This window comes from Homo sapiens, chromosome 20, assembly GCF_000001405.40.
Source record: "Homo sapiens chromosome 20, GRCh38.p14 Primary Assembly".
In the NCBI taxonomy this organism is placed as follows: Eukaryota; Metazoa; Chordata; class Mammalia; order Primates; family Hominidae; genus Homo; species Homo sapiens.
The window spans coordinates 47,285,063-47,306,959 of record NC_000020.11 but is presented as its reverse complement, the minus strand read 5'-3'; the positions used below and the strand labels follow the sequence as shown (position 1 = coordinate 47,306,959).

Sequence of the window (21,897 nt, the reverse complement as noted above, 5' to 3'; positions counted from 1 at the left end):
CACAGGCCTGTGCTTGCTTGTTTGCCACACTGCCCACCATTCCCTGTTGTCTCATACTCAGCCTGCTCTGCTCATTTCATCCACCTCTGAATTTCTTTCCATGTCCATGTTCTTTTGACTTTGGCATATGTGAAGATTCTCCACTGTCGTCTTCTTTTTCTTCACTTTAGTTTCTCTTCTTTGTTCCATTGTTCCAGAAAGAAAGCTATTCTCACCTCATAAAGAGCAAATAGGCTGGGCTCAGGACTGTAATCCCAGCTACTTGGGAGGTTGAGGCAAGAGACTCTCTTGAACCCGGGAGGCAGCGGTTGCAGTGAGCTGAGATCGTGTCACCACACTGCAGCCTGAGCGACAGAGTGAGACTCTGTCTCAAAAAAAAAAAAAAAGGCAAATAATCCATATATTTCCATTTTTGGTAGAGATGTTTTATTACCATGTGAAAATATGGGATGAGTTTTAAGTTTGGTCCCTATTCCACCCATTTATCATATATTAGGAATTCATTTTAGGGAAGTTTATTTTTATTTGTATTTTTATTTTTTGAGACAGGGTCTCACTCTGCTGCCCAGGCTGGAGTGCAGTGACATGATCACAGCTTACTGCAACCTCAACCTCCCCGGCTCTGCAGGCTCGACCTCCCCGGCTCAAGCAATTCTCTTCCCTCAGCCTCCCAAGTAGCTGGGACTATCGGCACATGTCAGCACACCCGGCTAGTTTTTTTTATTTTGTTATAGAGATGGGGGTCTCACTTTCTTTCTTGCCCTGGTTGGTCTCGAACTCCTGGGCTGAAGTGATTCTCCTGCTTCAACCTCCCAAAGTGTTGGGATTACAGGCATGAACCACTGCGCCGAGCCAAAAGTTTAAAGAGCTTTAAAACACATTTTATTTTCAGGGTTTAAAAGCATCCTAAGGTTTACCATGCATTTTTAAAAGACCTTTGGTCCAGTGTTTTCACCCCTTAGGAAGGTTTGAGAATGCCTGGGAAGATGCTCTCGGCGTTTTGTGGAGGAGGGTCAGGTTGCTAAATGGATGTCCTGTAGTATATGGGGCAAGAAATGCCTTGCCCCAAATGACGTCAGGGTCTTTACAGATAAATACCACTCTGCTCTTTAGTTCTGACACATTTGAGTTCAAACATCCTGTTGGGAGGTGTTTTGGTTTTTTTCCCTTGCATTAAAGGATTGAGAAATAACGTGCCAGCAGATTTGTACAGAATGGCCTTAGGTGCATCTTTGATCAAATATAGCAAAGAAATGATGGGGCCCCTCTTCACCTTCTCTGAGGACAGGGTGTCTGCATATCATGAATGAGTGGCTAGTACTTATTTTCTTGGGCCCACATGTTGCCCTAAAAACTGGGACACTTGAAGTCTTTTTTTGCTTGCTTTTTTTTTTTTTTGAAAGAAACAAGGCTTTGCAGGCCCAGGCCTGGTGGCTCATGCCTGTAATCCTAGCACTTTGGGAGGCTAAGGTGGGCAGATCACCTGAGGCCAGGAGTTCGAGACCAACCTGGGCAACATGGTGAAACCTCATCTCTACTAAAAATAGAAAAATTAGCCAGGCATGGTGGTGCGCACCTGTAATCCCAGCTGCTCGGGAGGCTGAGACATGAGAATCGCTTCAACCTCGGAGGTTGTAGTGAACCAATATCGCACCACTGCACTCCAGCCTGGGTGACAGAGCGAGACTCTGTCTCAGAAAAAAGAAAAAAAAAAAAGAGGCAGGGCTTTGCTCTGTTGTCCAGGCTGGAGTACAGTGGTGTCATTGTGGCTTACTACAGCCTTGACCTCCTGGGCTCAAGTGATCCTCCCACCTCAGCCTCCCAAGTAGCTGGGTCTACAGCTGTTCCCCAACATGCCTGGCTAATTTTTTTTTTTTAACTTTTTGTAGAGATAGGGTCTTGCTGCCCAGGCTGGTCGCGGACTCCTGGGCTCAAGCTGTTCTCCCACCTCATTCTCCCAAATTGGTGGGATTAGAGGTGTGAACCACTGCACTAGGCCCACAGAAGTCTTTTGTTGGGCTGAGACAGTGTATTAACAGTTGAGATAGTTCAGGGGAGTGCAGGGATTGCCAGTTTCTCCCCAAGGTCAGGCAACACTAGGAGTTTGTGTCTGCCCAACTCCTTGGATCACTGGAGCTGAGTGGGGGCTGCCTCTGTAAGATGGGTCTGAGCTCTGCCCAGCCCTGCTGTCTCCCCCACTGCGAGGTTGAATGCCAGTGCATCCTCACACTCCAGGGCTAGGTGGTTCTTTCTTACATACTTCACAGTATTCATGCTTTTACCAGATGTAGGAGAATGATAGCTGAAGCTATGGTTTTTTTCACTCAGGTATGGTCCCTGTGTGGCCTCTGTAGGAACTGGAGTCTATGGTCCTCATCGTCCACACATGGACCTTGTGTTTACACACAGCCAGAGCACCCATACTCTGGTTTATGTAGACCAGGTGTCTGCAACTACAGCCTGTGGGCTAGATGCTGCCTGAAGCCTGTGTTTATAGAGTTTTATTGGCACACAGCTACAGTCATTCATTTATGTACTGTCTGTGTGTGCTTTTGCCCTACAGTGGCCAAATTGAGTATTTGCGATAGAGGCCTTATGGCCTGCAAAGCCTCAAGTATTTACTATCCTTATAGAAGCCTTTATAGGAAAAGTTTGCCGGTTCCTGGTATCATTGAAGGTATTCCAGAAGCAAATAGACAGGGCCTTTTCTACTTTCTTGTTAGCCAGCCTATGGAAGCAGGGAAATAAGAACATTTTCTCTTCTGCAGTATCCCTTAATAACCTGCAAATATTCCATGATAACACAGGTTGCAACCTGTTTCCCTAGTTATCAAACTGGTAACACACATTATACATGTAGGGGAGAAAAATCATATCTCAGAAATGATTTGCTTTCCCTTTTTAAAATGTTCCATATTTGTTATCAGATTATTTTTATGGAACAGGAAACACTTACAAGCAGCAGATAAGGAAAATATCTGATTGATAAGGAGATTAACCAGGCATCTAGCTCTCAGCAACTGCTGCTGTTTCAGGAAAGGAGAAAATCTTCTGAAAAGAGTACAGAGCAGCCAGGCAGTCCTCGGGATCCTCCTAGGGGCAGCCAGCCCCAGCCAGGAGGTGGTGGGGTTGGGAGGGGAGCACCAGGAGAAACTTAATTTTGGAGGATCAGTACCTCGGCTACTATCAGACAGAGAGGATTTGAGTTGCTGGTTAGGGAGATGTACAGTCATATTTGATTCTTCCAGCTTCTTTTTTTTTTTTGAGACAGAGTCTTGCTCTGTTACACAGGCTGGAGTGCAGTGGTGTGATCTTGGCTCACCGCAACCTCCACCTCCCGGGTTCAAGCACTTCTTCCTGCCTCAACCTCCTGAGTAGCTGGACAGGCGCCCACCTATAGTTTTAGTAGAGACGGGGTTTCGCCATGTTGGCCAGGCTGGTCTTGAACTCCTGACCTGAGGTGATCCACCTGCCTTGGCCTCCCAAAGTGCTGGGATTACAGGCGTGAGCCACTGTGCCCAGCTGATTCTTCTAGCTTCTTAACAACTCTTCCTATTGTATTATTAACTTACTGAAAAGAAGTCAGATACTGAAAATACGGCTGACTGTTATCTTTCAAAAACCACAGTAGCATCCTAGAAGACCTCACTCGGGGTAGAAATAGTTCTGAAAAAAAAGAAAAAGAAGGGAAATAGTTCTGCTTGCTTGGTATGTATAGCTTATCTTTCAACAGGAGTTCCCCGCCCTCTCTTCCCCTTCCTGCTGCTCCTCACCCATCTCCTCTTTAGCACCCCCATACCCCTACAATAAATTCGAAGCAACCATTTTCCTAGGCAGAGAGCAGACCCTCTACATTAGTGGTTCTCAGCTAGGGACAGTTTTGACCTCCAAGGGACGTTGGGCAAAGTCTGGAGACGTTTTTGGTTGTCCTAATTACGTGTGTGAGGGTGTTAGAGTATTACTGGAATCTAGCCAGGTATGCTTCTACCTGCCCTGCAATGCACAGGACGTCTCCCACAACAAATACTTTTCTGGCCCCCAGTGTCACCAGTACCAAGATTGAGAGCCTGTGCCCTGGATGCTGTCCCCTTCTGTCAGGTTTTTAGTAGTCATCTTATTTTTCAGATGTTTTTTCCCCTCTAGCTTTGTGCACTAATCTGAACTTAGTTTGCATTGCAGATAATGTTCTCTGAGGGGGTCTCTAAGTCAACACACACTCTCCTGGATTCAACGTTGTCTTATGAGGGCTATAGGGAAGAGAGAGTGTGCTGGGAGACCCAGGTTTGAGTCTTTGCTCTGGGCTCCAAGGTCAGATAAATATCTTTAACCAAGTAACCAAGTTTTTCTACACATCAAGTAAGACTAGTATGGGTTGAGTATTCCTTATTCATCTTGGGACCAGAAGTGTTTTTTTTTATTTTTTAATTTGGAATATTTGCATATACATAGTGAGATATCTCGGGGATGGGACCCAAGCCTAAACACATAGATATATATTTTTTTGAGATGATGTCTCGCTCTTTCGCTCAGGCTGGAGTGCAGTGGTGTAATCTTGGCTCACTGCAACCTGAGTTGAAGCGATTCTCCTGCCTCAGCCTCCTGAGTAGCAGGCATGTGCCACCATGCCCAGCTAATTTTTATATTTTTTGTAGAGATGGAGTTTCACCATGTTGCCTAGGCTGGTCTGGAACTCCTGATCTCAGGTGATCCACCCACCTCGGCCTCCCAAAGTGCTGACATTACAGGCGTGCCACCACGCCTGGCCTAAACATAAAATTCATTTATGTTTCATACATACTGTATTAGTTTGTTTGTTCTCATGCTGCTAATGAAGACATACCCGAGACTGGGTAATGTATAAAGGAAAGCAGTTTAATTGACTCACAGTTCAGCATGGCTGGGGAGGCCTCAGGAAACTTACAATCAAGGTGGGGAGGGGAAGCAAACACGTCCTTCACATGGCTGCTTCGAGGAGAAGTGCAGAGCAAAGAGGAGGAAAAGCTCCTTATAAAACCATCAGATCTTGTGAGAACTTACTATCACCAGAACATCATGGAGGTAACTACTTCCATGATTCAATTACCTCCCACTGGGTCCCTCCCATGACACATGGGGATTATGGGAATTACAATTCAAGATGAGATTTGGGTGGGGACACAGCCAAACCATATCACATACCTTATACACATAGCCTGAAGGTAATTTTATACAATATTTTAAATAATATATGTGACTCATCACAAGAGATCACTTGTGGCTTCATGTTAGTGCTCAAAAACTTAAGGATTTTGGAGCATTTTTGATTTCTGATTTTCTCATTAGGGAGTGCTCTTAGTACCTTTCTGGGTGGTTGTCAGGATAAAATGAAGATGGTGTGTGCAATGGCATGCTGAAAATGTAACATGAAAAAAATATTGTAGCAGTGATATTCCCTGGAAACCAAGTAGAGCTCTATCTTAAAAGTTGGTCTGACACAGGGAAATAACTGGGCTAAAGAATTATGCAGCTGGGAGCAGTGGCCAACACCTGTAATCCCAGCACTTTGGGAGGCAGAGACGGACAGATCACCTGAGGTCAGGAGTTCGAGACCATCCTGGCCAACATGGTGAAATCCTGTCTCTACTAAAAATACAAAAAATTACCTGGGCGTGGTGGTGGGTGCCTGTTATCCCAGTTACTCAGGAGGCTGAGGCAGGAGAATCGCTTGAACCTGGGAGGCAGAGGTTGCAGTGAGCCGAGATCACGCCATTGCACTCTATCCTGGGCAACAAGAGCGGAACACCATCTCAAAAAAAAAAAAAAAAGAATTATGCAATCACATTTATAAGTATTAGCTACTTACTTTGCAGAAATGAGAATAGAGAGGCTTAGAAACATTGGTTTACAAAGGTCTACTAAGCAAGCATCTACAAGGCTCTTCATCAAGGATTGTGGAAATACCAGGCATTTGGGAACAGTAAAACCTCTTAATACCAGCCTGGGTAACATGGTGAAACCCTGTCTCTACAAAAAAAACAAAACAAAACACACACACACACACACACACACACACACACACACACACACACACACACAAAATTAGTTGTGCATGGTGGCGCTCACCTGTAGTCCCAGCTACTTGGGAGGCTGAGGCTGGAGGATTGCTGGAGCCTCAGAGGTGGAGGTTGCAGTGAGGTGAGATCTTGCCACTGTACTCCAGCCTGGGCGACAGAGCAAGACCCTGTCTCAAATACTAAACAAAACCTCATAATAAAAGCTGGGAACAAGATATGGGTGCCTGCCTTCTTGGCAACTCTTGCACATTATTTTGGAGGTCCTAGCCATTAAAAAGAAAAGTCGTGTTAAAGTATATGATAGGAAAAGACAAAACTGATGTTACTTAGAGTAATATGATTTTCAGTCAATAAACTATTGGAACTGTCTATATATGAGGTCTGTATTAGAAATCTGACAGCATTTCTGTCTATCAATGATAACCGTTTAGTAAATCCCCATTCGTAGTATCATCAAAAAGTATGCAGGATCTCACCAACGTAGAAGATATTTGTGGAGGAAACCATCATGTTTTACTGAAGGACAGAAAAGAAACATGTTATACAGTGAGATTTATTCGAGGGTAGGGAATATGGTTGTGGCTAAACTATTCTCTGTGGTTTTATTGCCAGGGAATTGAGGCTCAAAGTGGGTTGAGTCACTTTCTTAAGGTCACATAGCTAGTTACCAGGTCTTTTTGAATCTTCCCACAGGACTTACATGTGTACTTCCTAAATAGGATTTCGTATTTGTTTCTGATAGACATTTTCATTATGAGTTTCTCCTGAGTGAGTTTTTGTGTTCAAGTGTGGCTTTGCTGGATTCCATAATATACCATAATATTCCATAATATACCAGGAAGAGGTCGACCTCCCATGAGTTGGCCACCCATCTCATCTTTCTGCCATTGCTGATGTCAAATAAGAGATATGTCTCCCTAGCAAAAACAAGGACCTACCATGCTCAAGAATTATGGCTTTAGGAAGCCTCTTGTTGGCTCATAAATGCTTTATGTATTGGGGGTAAACTTAAAAATTAGATAACTGGCCGGGTGCAGTGGCTCACGCCTGTAATCCCAGCACTTTGGGAGGCCGAGGTGGGCAGATCACGAGGTCAGGAGATTGAGACCAGCCTGGCTAACATGGTGAAACCCCATCTCTACTAAAAATACGAAAATTAGCCGGGCATGGTGGCACACGCCTGTAGTCCCAGCTACTCAGGAGGCTGAGGCAGGAGAATGGCTTGAACCCGGGAGGCAGAGGTTGCAGTGGAGCCAAGATTGTGCCACTGCACTCTAGCCTGGGCAACAGAGCGAGACTCCGTCTCTGAAAAAAAAGAAAAAGAAAAAGAAAAAAAAAATTAGGTAACCATTTTTTGGTGACTGAAACCCTATTGATCTATTCTCTAAATGTCTGCCATTTGAAGAATCCCAGGGCAAACTACTATGCTTTTATTGGCTTTGTAAATTGGGACTTCCATAAGTTGGGCTTCCAACCACATTAGCATTGTTAGTATGGTGGCATTTTGATAAACAGGCATACATTATATCACCCCATTTAATAGCAACACAGTACCATGAAGTGTTAGGCATTATCATCTCCATTTTACAGATGAGAAAATTGAAGCTGAGAGGTTAAGAGACTTGTCCAAGGTCATGCACCTGGTTAATGGTAGAGTTAAAATCTGAACCTAGGTAGATGTGGGTTATAGGCAATGTGCCATTCTGCTAGGGCTGCCTTGTAACTCTTAGATACCAGCTTTTAATCGTGGCCTCTTAAAATAGAAAAAAGAAAAATCCTCATAATTTTAACAACTTGCTAATTATATATTTAGTAGAGTAACCTAAGATAGTTTGGCTTTTTAATGAATTTGTGAAATGCTGTTATTTTCTTTTGTTGTTATTGATGTACTTGTTCAAATTCCTTTTGAGAATGCACATTTGTTTTGAAACCAAACCTGTCTTTTTGCCTACATTTCAGTCAGAACTAAGACATGGTCCGTTTTACTATATGAAGCAGCCACTCACCACAGACCCTGTTGATGTTGTACCGCAGGATGGACGGAATGATTTCTACTGCTGGGTTTGTCACCGGGAAGGCCAAGTCCTTTGCTGTGAGCTCTGTCCCCGGGTTTATCACGCTAAGTGTCTGAGACTGACATCGGAACCAGAGGGGGACTGGTTTTGTCCTGAATGTGAGGTTAGTTCCTGATGAATGAATGCATTACCTGCCTCGTTTCCTCTCCTTTCTCTTTCTTCCTTTTATTTTTAAATTTACAAATAATCCAGATAGATGGAAAAGAGAAATTTCTTGCTTTCCACCTGTTCTATCCTGGTCACCCCCTTCTTGACCAACACCGGCAGTGGCTGCAGTACTGCAGCTCTTGGAAAGACAATTGCACGGAATATTATTTCTGATTTCTCATGAGTCCTTGGATTCCTTGGAGATCTGTAGTCGTCATCTCTGCATCTTCTATGATGAACTTTTTGAAAGTTAACTCCCAAATCATGAACGGCTCACACATTTTGAAAAGATCTCATTCTGTTTTCTCCGTCTTGGATGTTGTTGCCTGCCGCATCATTGAATCATCAGCAGTAGCCAAGCTGAGAAGACCACGTTTGGTTGCATGTTCCCTGTAGTGGCCGTCTGGTGCTTTCTTTTGTGCAACAAGTATTTCTTGAGTGCCTATTAGGTGCTGGGAATTCGACAGTGCACAAAAACAGGCATGGATCATTTTTTTTTTTCCAGCAGAAAAGGACAAAAACCAAAATAAATAAAGTTCCATATAATGAATTAAAAGAAAAGTGCTGTGAAGAAAACAAATTCAGGATGGGAATAGGAGGTCCAAGGGAGTGCAAGGTGTTTTCATTTTGAATGTGGTGGTCTGGGAAAGCCTCACTAAAATTTGAGAAAGACTTGATGAAAGAGAGGAGTGAGCCATGCAGCCATTTGGGGGACAACTTCCAGGCAGACGGCCGGAGGCAGCAGTGCATGGGCGTAGTCGGGGCAGTGTGTATGCCTCCTGTGTAGCAAACCCCAGGCACCCTTTATTAAGCCAACTATTAGGGTTTCCACTGTTTGGAGGTGGCTCCTGTTCTTGGAGACCCCCAACTCTGATGTTTTTTTGGAATTGCTGAAAATAAAAATGTCATCTCCACAATTATTTAATGTGGAATGTCTCTTGGATTCAAAGATACATTGGAGGCTGAGCGTGGTGGCTCATGATTGTAATCCCAGCACTTTGGGAGGCCGAGGCAGGAGAATTGCTTGATCCCAGGAGTTCAAGACCTGTCTGGGCAACATAGGGAGACCCCCATCTCCACAGAAAGTTTAAAGAAATTAGCTGGGCATGGTGGTATGTGCCTGTAGTCCCAGCTACTTGGGAGGGTGAGCTTGGAGGATCACTTGAGCCGAGATGGTTGAGGCTGCAGTGAGCTGTAATCATGCCACTGTATTCTATCCTGGGAAATAAAGCAAGATCATGTCTCAAAAAAAGAAAAAAAAAAGGTACATTGGAGTTTGATCTCAAATGTGGAAGCTTTCTATGTGTGAAATGGAAAGATCATCCAGATGTCTTTAGTAGGGAAAAAAGCCAGCTATAGGACAGTGTCTGTCATACTTTTGTGTAGGGAGAGGAGAAAAATAAGAAATACATAAAAAGAAAGTAGACATGAAATCAATATGATGACGATGATATTGTAATGGTGTCCTCTCTAAAATGGCAAAAGGCGGCTGCCGTTCTCTTTGGGTTACTCTAGATGGAGAAATATGTAGGGTTTGCATTGTACAGCGGCGCCCTCCTCTGCACGCAGAGGCTGACCTCATTCTACTACATTTGTCATGGGATCTGGAACCTTCACCAATTTTCTTTAGTCTTGGCCAACTTTTCCCAATTGTTTAATGATATTACAAAGATGACAGCAGCTCTGATAGGATGCTTTTGCTGCAAATAATAGTTCTTTTATTTTTATTTGAGACATGGTCTTGTTCTGTTGCCCAGGCTGGAGTGCAGTAACGAGATCTTGCTCACTGCAGCCCTGACCACCTGGGCTCAAGCGATCCTCCCACCTGAGCCTCCTGAGTACCTGGGACCACAGGTACACACCACCACACCTAGCTACTTACTAAGTTTTTTGTAGAGACAGGGTCTTGCTATGTTACCTAGGCTGGTCTTGAACTCCTAGGCTCAAGCGATCCTCCCACCTTGACCTCCCAAATTGTTGGGATTATAGGTGTGAGCCACTGTGCCCGGCCAACAAAATATAGTTGTTAATGCAAGCACTAGTTCCTGATAGAAGGGGGCTGAAACAATGTGGATTTATTATCATCAGAACCTAGAGGCAGGGCCAGGCCAGAGTTTATTCAGAGCCAGACTCTTTCCATCTCATTGTTGAGGTGACATGTTCTCCATGGCCATAAGTTGACTGCTAGGGTTCAGGTATTATGTGTGGATAGACAAAAATTCTCCCAAAAGGAGGATGTCTCTCCTTGCATCTCTTTTTATCAAGCAGAAAGATTTTGTCCATCATCCCCCAGCTGATTTGCCCCTGGGCTCATTGGTCAGTATTGCATCACCAGTCCTTGTACAAAAAAGCCTTGAAAATTGCATATGTGGTGCTTTTTGTGTTGTGGGAACCAGGCACTGCCAGCCAGGAAGAAGGAGTGGGGGGTGAGAGGGAATGAATGATAGTTGGGCAGGCAGCCCAAGTGTTTGCCATGGATAAGTTACCTGGAAACAAACCAGAATCAAACAAACAGGTGCTCTGTGTCTAAGATTCGGGGCTCTGAATTTCTTCCAGGGATGAGTTGTTACGGCAGTCAACTGGGAAGACTGAACGTTGCAAGGCTGTGGTAGCTAAGCAAATAGATGCATGCGTCATGCACTGTTTTCAGCTTCTGAGTGACTCTTGTGTTGGCCTTTTCCTCGACAACCAACGAGACACATCTGAGAGTTCCTTTTGGAGGCCCCAGAGATGTGAAAAATGGAAACAGAATCCAAATTAATTGGAGAAAACTTTTCTCAGCTCTCCCTACACAGATGGTTAAAGAGTGTTTCCTGACATGATCAGAATTTGCTATTTTTGTTGTTGCTGCTACATAAGGATTCTGAAGCCTTAAGATGTAGTACCAGATTTACATAGCAGAATCTGGTTTCAGACGTTCCTTTGGGTCTCTTCTTTGATGGGAATTTCCCTTAGGAGCTGATATCTATTACCCATGGAGATAGACAGTTAGGTTAGGTTGTGCTCCTTGTGTACTTTGACACAGTGCCTTAGGTGGGTTCAAAGTAAGGGAGATGGACAATGAAGTCATACGTATTATTAGTCCACTGCTTTCCCTTGTAATCTTTCTGCAGGGAAGTCTGTCCCTTTCCATCAGTGATGTCATTGAATTAATGCCTTGTCAGTTTCCTGAATGACAGCCCAGAACCTTAAGAGGATCAGGATAAATGGTTGATAAGTACCCATCCTGTGAAGTAATCACCCTGAAATCATCCGTGGCCTTTACTTTCTTTTTTTATACATACATATTTTTGAGACAGGGTCTCGCTCTGTCACCCAGGCTAGAGTGCAGTGGCACAATCATGGTTCACTGCAGCCTCCGCCTCCCAGGCTCAACCCATCCTCCCACCTCAGCCTACCAAGTAGCTGGGACTACGGATGCGTGCCACCATGCCTGGCTAGTTTTTGTATTTTTTTGTAGAGATGGAGTTTCATCATGTTGCCAGGCTGGTCTCCAACACTGGGGCTCAAGCAATCTACCCACCTCAGCCTCCCCAAGTGCTGGGATTACAGGCGTGAGCCACCACGCCCACCTGGCCTTTGCTTTCATATCCCATTCTTGAAACCTAAAGGTTATAATAATGATGATTTTTCAGGCCCCTGTTTAGCCACATCTTTTCTCAGATCATGTCGTCTTCCTGAGCTAAAAATGCTTCCTGATAAGGAAATAGATTGATACGCTTTTTAATAGTTACCCACTGATCTGGTACATTTTGTTCCAGGAGTCTTTGCTAAGTGAAACAACAAGTCTCATTGGGATGAGAATTGCTTTTTGTCTGTCAGTTGACTGAAAAAATAGAAATCAGTACATGGATGGTAATTTCTTTTTTCTAACCGGACGTTTATGTATGACTTTGACTTTGTAGAAAATTACAGTAGCAGAATGCATCGAGACCCAGAGTAAAGCCATGACAATGCTCACCATTGAACAGTTATCCTACCTGCTCAAGTTTGCCATTCAGAAAATGAAACAGCCAGGGGTAAGAAGAAAGTTCCTCTTGGTATACGCGTAAATGAACGTAATGACATATGTTTTGTTCTGTTAATAGCTTAGCTTTTTAGGTACCTGATGTATTCTTTGGGCCTCCTTGCATCCCCAAATTCAAGTATGTGTAAATCACACATGAGGTATGATGCCATTCAGTTAATTCTCTGTCGTAGTAAGCACTGTATGTCCCAGAGGAGTTTAATTGGTACATTAGTCTGTTTTCACACTATTGTAAAGATATTACCTGAGACTGAGTAATTTATGAAGAAAAGAGGTTTTTTTTTTTGTTTGTTTGTTTGTTTTTCTGAGATGGAGACTTGCTCTGTCACCCAGGCTGGAGTGCAGTGGTGTGATGTTGGCTCACTGCAACCTCTGCCTCCCAGGTTCAAGTGATTCTCGTGCCTCTGCCTCCCCAGTAGCTGGGATTACAGGCTCCCGCCACCGCACTGGCTATTTTTTTTTTTGTATTTTTAGTAGAGATGGGGTTTCACCATGTTGGCCAGGCTGGTCTCAAACTCCTGACCTCAAGTGATCCTCCAGCCTCGGCCTCCCAATATGGTGGGATTACAGGCATGAGCCACTGTGGCTCGCCAGAAAAGAGGTTTAATTGACTCACAGTTCTGCATGGCTAGGGAGCCCTCAGGAAACTTAAAATGATGGTGGAAGGCGAAGGGGAAGCAAGGCACGTTTTACATGGCAGCAGGAGAAGGGGGGTGGGAAGTGCCAAACACTTTTAAACCACAAGATCTTGTGAGAACTCACTCACTATCACGAGAACAGGATGGGGGAAACCACCCCCATAATCCAGTCACCTCCCACCAGGTTCCTCCCTTGACATGTAGGGATTAAAATTTGAGATGAGGTTGGGTGGGGACACAGAGCCAAACCATATCAATTGGGCAATGACATAGTAAAACGTTGAGGGGGATTGAAAATTCTGACTGGTTGCAAAGTGAAACCTCCTATAACACCCAGCAAGGGGAGCTTTGTGCTCCTTCCCATGGGAGTTAGGAAAATCCATTTCAATGAGGAAGCTGAGCACAACACAGTTTATTTATGTCCCAGATCTGATGATGGAACCTTCAAGGAAAACTCAACCAGTGACTTTTCTGTAGAGGGTGAGAATTTGGTTAGTTCCTTCAGTTTTGAGATGAGATTTGATATACAGCCTTTGCCCCTTGAGGAAAATCTGCATGTGGGGGAAGGGTTGGCCAGTTGTGTACCTCACAGTGGTGCCTCACCTGTGAGTCCCAGGTCAAACCATGGCCACTGTGGTTTGTATATTTATCACAATACTTTTCAGGAAAATGGCAGAAAAATAACTTGTTTTTGAAGATAGTATTATTTTGACAATATAATAAGCATATTATGACATTTTTTCTATAGATGAATATTTTCCTTTCCTCCCTCCCTCTGTCCTTCCCTCCCTCCCTCCCTCCCTGCCTGCCTGCCTGCCTGCCTGCCTGCCTGCCTCCCTCCCTCCCTCCCTCCCTCCCTCCCTCCCTCCCTTCCTTCCTTCCTTCCTTCCTTCCTTCCTTCCTTCCTTCTTTCCTCGTCCCTCCCTCCCTCCCTACCTCCCTCCCTTCCTTCCTTTCTTTTTTTGGAGGCAGACTGTTGCTTTGTTGCCCAGGCTGGAGCGCAGTCATAGCTTACTGCAGCATCAACCTCCTGGGCTCAGGCGATCCTCCCACCTCAGCCTCTCAAGTAGCTGGAACTATAGATGCACACACCGCCACACCCAGCTAACTTTTTTATTATTATTATTTTTTGTAATGACAGGGTCTCGCTATGTTGCCCAGGCTGGTCTTGAACTTCTGGCCTTAAATGATCCTCCTGCCTCAGCCTTCCAAAGTGCTGGGATCACAGGCATGAGTCACGGCGCCTGGCCCCTACAGATGAAGAGAAACTTGCGGACATGATGCCCCCTACCTGATTTGCACAAAGGCACCATAGGGGCTAGTGGTGACCCTTTGTACAACTCCTGAGAGTACTGTACAGAAATGTAGATTCTTGGGGCTAATCACTGTGGTTTTATATCTTTAAAAAAAAAAGAAGCTTTTGCTTTGAGATTATATTCTGAAATTTTGAAGAGATGATAAAAAAAATTTAGAGCATGCTGATTGGATATCCTTCAATTGAGAACCTTTAACAAATTGGACTCTTTTAAACAAAATCTCAATCAGTGGAAGCAAAAGGTGTAGCCTTAGTTTGGTTTGCACAATTTTTTTGTTTTTTTTTTGCTATGGTATAATTTTTATGTTGAGTGTGGCAAGGAATTACCTTCGATTTTCATAGGCTAAATTATATGTGCTAATGACTATTAACAAAAAGAATGAGTCATGTAGATTTGTCAGCCCCATAGAATTAAAAACCAAGAAGAAAAATTGAAGAGGGCGTTAATTTCTCAAGTAAATCGTTGAACGTCAAATCAGTCAGGGGAGAAAGTGCTGATTTTGTTAAAGCATCTTTTTAACTTACAGTGCGTATTGTAATTGTCAATCTTAATGTAAGAGGACAGGATCTGTTTCTTGAGTGTGTATTGAAAACCAAGAATAAAATTGGATCACAATTGGGCTTATAATTATCAATAACCAGGCAGAATTAGAAGGTAGACCAATTTGGAGCTCCCCACGGTCATCCTTTATGGAAAACTTTAGAACTATATTGTCTGAAAAGTTGTCTCAATTTTTCAAGCCTTTTGTTAGCATTAATGCTTGGTTTTCCATAGTAATGATGGGTTCGTTCCTCTGCATATCTTCTCTTTTATAGACAGATGCATTCCAGAAGCCCGTTCCATTGGAACAGCACCCTGACTATGCGGAATACATCTTCCATCCAATGGACCTTTGTACATTGGAAAAGGTTGGCCTCCGTCAAAGAACCTCACCATTCTAGCCCACAGTTGAGATGCCTAAGGCTCTTCCCTCACTGCCTATGCTCTATCACAAGTTGGACATAACAATCTTAAATTGTTTCTCTATATTTTCATTGCTCCTTTATTTGGATAGAAGAACTCTTGATTCTCTAACGTCTTTCCTTTGTAACATTCTTCCAAGATTGCAGTGGAATGTTGAAATTCTTTGGTAATACTTTTGCGATGATTCTAGCTTTTTACCTGCAAAAGCCATAGCTTCTAAGAGTTAGTGATTTGATTGACTTGAGCGTTACCTCCTCTTTCTTTCGGAGGTGCTAATGAGAGCAGCAGGAAGGAAGAAGAGAAAATTAAGTGTCTGGGAAGCCTCCAGATTAGCAATAAAGATGTGGCTTCTTAGAATTTGACTTACTCTACTGATTAGGTTTTTTCTTGAATGCCTGAAGGTTTTAAAAGTTCATGCTAAAATTCCACGCTGAAAATTACACTTGGAACACTGTAGATTGTGCACATTATTCTGATGCTGATTTTCCAACTATTTGCAGCAAAATATGGGCAGTGAAATGCATCCACGAGGAAGAAACATTACTTCATATTGTCTTCCCCAATAACTCCCAAACCATAAATCCAGTCTGTTTTTAGGAAATTGCACATACCTTCATGGTGTGGTGGAAAAAAGGAGGCATTCAAAAGAGATGGAGTTGGAAACCTGACTTTATATTAATTAAGTTAAGAGCTGTGGAACTTTAGATACATTCCTTAACATTACTGTATCTCAGTTTGCCTTTCTGTAAAATGGGTATGATAATAAGTACTTCATTAAATTATTGTGAGGTTTGTGTGAGACCATATGACTAATAATAAATAATGTATAAATATATGAAATACCCTGTTTGGCCGGGCGCGGTGGCTCAAGCCTGTAATCCCAGCAGTTTGGGAGGCTGAGGCGGGCGGATCATCTGAGGTCAGGAGTTCGAGACCAGCCTGACCAACATGGAGAAACCCCGTCTCTACTAAAAATACAAAATGAGCTGGGCATGGTAGCACACGCCTGTAATTCCAGCTATTCAGGAGGCTGAGGCAGGGGAATTGCTTGAACCCGGGAGGTGGAGGTTGCAGTGAGCCGAGATCACGCCATTGCACTCCAACCTGGGCAATAAGAGCAAAACTCCACCTCCAAAAAAAAAAAAAAAAAAAAAAAACTAAATAAATAAACTATCCTGTTTATTGGAAGAAGCTACATGATAAATGACAGCTACTATAAGATGAGAAAATTCCAGTTATTGTGTTAAATTCAAAGAGTGCATTTTTATAGGGTTATAGATCTCAAAAATAAAAGCATTCTTTAGTCGGGGTGTTGTAGGTTAAAAAGAAGCATCTTGGGAAATGAATAGAAGAACACTAATTGATTTGGCAAATGACTGCTACAAAAATTATGTGGGGACACAAGAGTCACTGACTGTGGCTTGTCTAGACTCACTGTGATTATGCTCCATCGCTTTTCTTCCCAGAATGCGAAAAAGAAAATGTATGGCTGCACAGAAGCCTTCCTGGCTGATGCAAAGTGGATTTTGCACAACTGCATCATTTATAATGGGGGTGAGTGGCTTAGATGACTCCTAAGAAAGAGTATGCTGTGTATGTGTTGCACAAATTCCTGTCCTTCATGAAAAATCAGGCTCTTAATTCATATTGAGAATACTTGCGTATAGATTGTGCTAATATATGTGAATAGGAGGCAGTGACCAAGTTCATTTTAAGGTATGAGCTGACATCTAAAGTGGCTTGCAGCTGCATGGTGCTGCTGCCTTTTAGTGTTATTTCTACAAACCTTATTTTAATGGAAGTATAATTGCATAAAATAAAACATACAGATTTTATGTTTATATTCACTGAATTTGACAAATGTGTAACCACAAGATCCAGAACATTCCTATCAGCCTGTTGGATTCTCATACATGCCATTTTCTAGGAAACCCACTCTCAACAGGAACCACTTTCTGCTTTGTGTTAGGATAGATTAATTTTGCTTCTTGTAGAATTTCATATAAATGGAGTCAGAGTTAGTGCTCTTGTGTGTCTGGCTGCTCTCATGCAGTGTAATATTTTGAGGAGTCATCTGTGTTATGTGTTATTAGTGGTTCCTTTTTTTTTGTTGCTGATTTTTTTTTTTCATTCGATCAATATGCCGCCATTCATCCATTTACCTTGTTGATGCTCATGGATATTTGGGTTGTTCTTAGCTTTGGGCTGTTAGGAATAAGCTGCTGTGAACCTGCTTGTGCAAGTCTTTGCATGGACATAGGTTTTTCTTTCTCTTGGGTAAATACCTAGGAGTGGTGTTGCCAGCTCAGTGAGTAGGATTTTATTTAACTTACTACGTTTCACCAAACAGTTTTTGCAAAGTGGTTCTATCATTTTACATTCTACCAGCAGGGTATATTAGAGTTCTCTTTTGCTCCACACACTATAAGGGTTGATATTGTCTGCCTTTTAAATTTTACCTGTTCTTGAAGGTGTAAAGTATTATGTCACGATGTTTTAATTTGCCTTTTCCTAATGATCAGTGGTATTGCGTATCTTTTCCTGTGCTTATTAGTGACTTGTATGTCATTTTTTGTAAACATCTATTCAGATATTTTGTTCATTGCAAAAATAGGATTATTTATTTATTTATTTATTTAGAGACAGAGTCTCACTGAATCGCACAGGCTGGACTGCAGTGGTGTGATCTCAGCTCACTGAAACCTCTGCCTCCTGGGTTGAAGCGATTCTCGTTCCTCAGCCTCCCGAGTAGCTGGGATTACAGGCGTGTGCCACCACACCTGGCTAATTTTTGTATTTCTAGTAGAGATGGGGTTTCGCCATATTGGCCAGGCTGGTCTCGAACTCCTGACCTCAAGTGATTTGCCCACCTTGGCCTCCCAAAGTGTTGGGATTACAGGCATTAGAGACCACGCCAGCCTGTTTGCTAGTGTTTAAGGAAAGATATATGCATATCTGCTTTACGCACCATATTGCATTACTAACTATAGCAGGGCTGAGAGTGCAAGGAGGGGAAAAAGGAGAGGCACTAGGCATTAAGAATGTGTGGGTCAGGTGCAGTGGCTCATGCCTATAATCACAGCACTTTGGGAAGCTGAGGCGGGCGGATCACTTCAGTCAGGGGTTCGAGATCAGCTTGGCCAACATGGTGAAACCCTGTCTCTACTAAAAATACAAAAATTAGTTGGGTGTGGTGGCGCATGCCTGTAATCCCAGCTACTCTGGAGGCTGAGGCGCAAGAATCGCTTCAACCCAGGAGGCAGAGGTTGCAGTGAGCTGAGATCTGCGCCCCTGCACTCCAACCTGGGTGACAGAACGAGACTCCATCTCAAAAAAAAAAAAAAAAAAGAATTGGTGTAAAGATTATAAACTCAAATATATAGAAAGGCCCCGCCTATCAAATTATATAAACAAGTGGATGAGGTCAGGTAGAAGAACAAAAACATTAGCACAAGCCAAGAAGGCTGCAGGTCAAGTGATGTGCTGTGGATCATGGAGAACAGAAAACTCCTACCTGGCCTGGAAAGGTCGCTGTTGGCAGCTCCAGTGCTCCATTGATTATAGTTACTGGATCTTCTGAGTTTTCAAGGCAAACCAGAAATGTAGGTATATTGTGTGTTTGTGTGTGTGAAATCTTCGTGTCAACAAATTTACAATTTCTAAAAATACCATAAAGTTCAAAGAAAACATGACTTTGGACCATCTTGTCGTCTGGTTTAGTGTAGAGTTAGACCTGGGGCTAGATGGTTACTTTATTAGCTAAGTAATGTAAGTGGTGACTCCTGAACCTTGGCATACTCATTCATTAAATGGGCACATTTTGTCCCTGCTTCCTAGTATGACTTCTTGAGGAGCTGAGAAGAAAATGTGTATGTGTGTGCGTGTGTGCGTGTGTGTGTGTGTTGTTTTTTTCTAGAGGTGGGGTCTCGCTATGTTGCCCAGGCTGGTCTTCAACTCCTGGGCTCAAGTGATCCCTCTGCCTCAGCCTCCCAAGGTGTTGGGATTACAGGCATGAGCCACCACACTTGGCCCAAGAAGAAAATGTGTTTTGAAGCACTAGCCACACCAGAGCTATTCAAGAAAATGTCTTCTTTCTCTTGTATTCTTCTTGGGTTGGCGTCTGGGACAATGGGTAGAATAAGGCCTTTTTTCATTAATTTGAGCCTTTAGAATGTCAAAGCATTTTAAGAATATTAATCCATGATCTCTAGGGAAACCCACATAAATTGCTCAGTTGCAGAGAAGATGACATCGAGGCGCCAAAGAGTCGTCGACATTGATGGGAGGAATCACATAATGTGAATTACTATTAGAAGCCAGGAACCTCTGGTTTTAGCCTTTAAAAGCTTAATCCTGGGGGAAAAGCAAGTAAACACATTGTTAGCGGAAGTAAAGTCCCCAGGCCCGGTGTTGCGGTATTTCCATTAGAATTAATCCTGTTTTCTTATTCCCTTAGGAAATCACAAATTGACGCAAATAGCGAAAGTAGTCATCAAAATCTGTGAACATGAGGTATGTGTTTCCCACTGTCCTGTTTTAGATGCACCCAGAAGGAGGGGATGGGGCAGCTGAAGTTTCCATTTGCAGAATCTCCTATTAGGTAGCCGAGGTGATTTTGGAATTTGTTGAGGCCACACCCCTACTCTTCAAGGAAAGTAAAAAGAACAAAGAGGGGCCCGAGTATATTATAAAACACCCTTACTGTAGCAATGATCTAAGGGAGATGGAAAGGATTTTTTGTTTTTTACCCTTGAGTCACCAGTAAGCACCGGGCCTCCTGTCTTTTCCTGATTGCCTAGATAGAATTCGTAATTTCTGACCTTGGCCCCACAGCCTGGTATTGTTTCAGGTCCCTTTTGGTCCTCTTGCAGAAGAGGATTTGATATCTGGGGGCATGGCCTTGACTGCTTCTGGGAGAGTGGCCCAGGTGTCCAGGAGAACCTGTTTTCTTGCAAATGCCCATAATTGTGATGGCGTGGATGGAACAGACCTCTTAGGCGTGTGAGCTGTGAGGCTCTGGTGGTTGTGGGACAGGCTGGCAGCCAAAATGGTATGAGGGAGCTTTTCTTTATTAGATCTCATTGTGAGAATAAAAAAATGAGATGGAATGACCTTCAACCTGTCAGTGTGCTCCCATTCATTCATAAAGAAAAACTGTTCAGATAGCACTGGGACCCATCCATGTCTTTTTATATATGGATATATAGATCTAGATCTAGATATATCCAGATAGATAGATAGATGATAGATAGATAGATACCTGGCCAGGTGCAGTGGCTCACACCTGTAATCCCAGCACTTTGGGAGGCTGAGGCAGGGAGATCACTTGAGTCCAGGAGTTCAAGACCAGCCTGGCCAACATGGCAAAACCCCGTCTCCACTAAAAATACAAAAATTAGCTGGGTATGGTGGAACATGCCTGTAATCCTAGCTAAACTGAGAGGCTGAGGCAGAAGAATTGCTTGAACCTGGGAGGCAGAGGTTGCAGTGAGCCAAGATAGCACCACTACACTCCAGACTGGGTGATAGAGTGAGACTCTGTCTCCGAGAAAAAAAAAAAAAATCTATCCTTATAAATTTATATCTATATATAGATATAGTTATCTATGTATTTTTTGAGGCAGGGTCTCAACATGGACTGGGTGCACCATCACACCCAGCTAATTAATTAGCCTGGCTATTTCTTTTTAAATTAATTATTATTATTTTTTTTGTAGAAATGGGGTTTTGCCATGTTGCCCAGGCTGGTCTCAAACTCCTGGGCTCAGGCGATCCTTCTGCCTCAGCCTCCAAAGACGCTGGGAATATAGGCCTCAGCCACCAAGCCCGGCTTATGTCTGTATATTTATGTAGAGAGAGTTTTATAAACTGCTTTCTCACTTAGTTTATTTTATGTATTTTCTCTGTTTCCTAGGTAATTAAACTCGTAGGAAGAACAGAATTTTTCATGGCTGTATAGTATTACATACAACACATGGACATTCATTTAATTACTCCTCTTGTCATTAAATAGTACCCAGTTTTATCAGCATCTTAAGTAACAAGGTGATGAATATCATTGCGCATTTGATGATTTCCTTAGTTTAATTTTTAGGAATAAAACTACTATGAGGCTGTGAACATGTCAGATGTTCCAGTTACAATGAGGCTATGTCCTTTCCAATATTGGGAGTTGTAATTACAAAACTATATGTAAATATGTGCCCCCCTGCCCCAACGATGTGATCTGTAAAAACGGTAGGCATCTTACTGTGATTTTAGTTTGCATTTCCTTGAAGAAAGTCATACAGGCTGTTTTGGATATGTTCCTTTGGAATAGCTCAGAAGTAGAGTGGGCTTAGAAGCAGGAGGTGCACTCTGCCATCCATGCATTTGTTTGCACATTCATTCGCTTACTTACTCGCTGACCTGTGAAATCTGTTAGTCTTATAATTATTGAGCACCTGTTAAATATGTGGCACCTTGCATGATAAGAGTTAAAGAGAAGAATAAGGCAGATAGTGGTAGAAAGGAATAACAAATATCAGTGCAGTGGTGACCTGCATGGGCTTTGGAGCCCGACTACCTGGGTTCAAATCCTGACCATGCCACTTTGTTGCTGTAAGACCTTGGGCAGGTTACTAAACTTTTTGGGGCCTCATTTTTTTTTTAATCTCATGAGGTGTAAGGAATACAATG

At 43.1% G+C, this 21,897-nt stretch overlaps 1 protein-coding gene across 20 annotated transcripts in view; it reads left to right on the top strand.

The window, feature by feature from the left end:
* The window catches only part of ZMYND8 (zinc finger MYND-type containing 8), a 147,486-nt gene that overhangs the window by 49,740 nt on the left and 75,849 nt on the right, over positions 1–21,897 (top strand). For 9 of the 20 annotated variants that reach the window (NM_001281776.3, NM_012408.6, NM_183047.4 and 6 more), the window contains 5 exons: positions 8,013–8,231; positions 12,181–12,294; positions 15,072–15,164; positions 16,686–16,773; positions 19,676–19,731. In NM_001281776.3, coding sequence (NP_001268705.1) covers positions 8,013–8,231; positions 12,181–12,294; positions 15,072–15,164; positions 16,686–16,773; positions 19,676–19,731 — 570 coding nt within the window. Of the gene's footprint in view, positions 1–8,012; positions 8,837–12,180; positions 12,295–15,071; positions 15,165–16,685; positions 16,774–19,675; positions 19,732–21,133; positions 21,265–21,897 lie in introns of those variants that run through there. The other 11 variants (NM_001281781.3, NM_001281784.3, NM_001281771.3 and 8 more) reach the window with 3 other exon arrangements.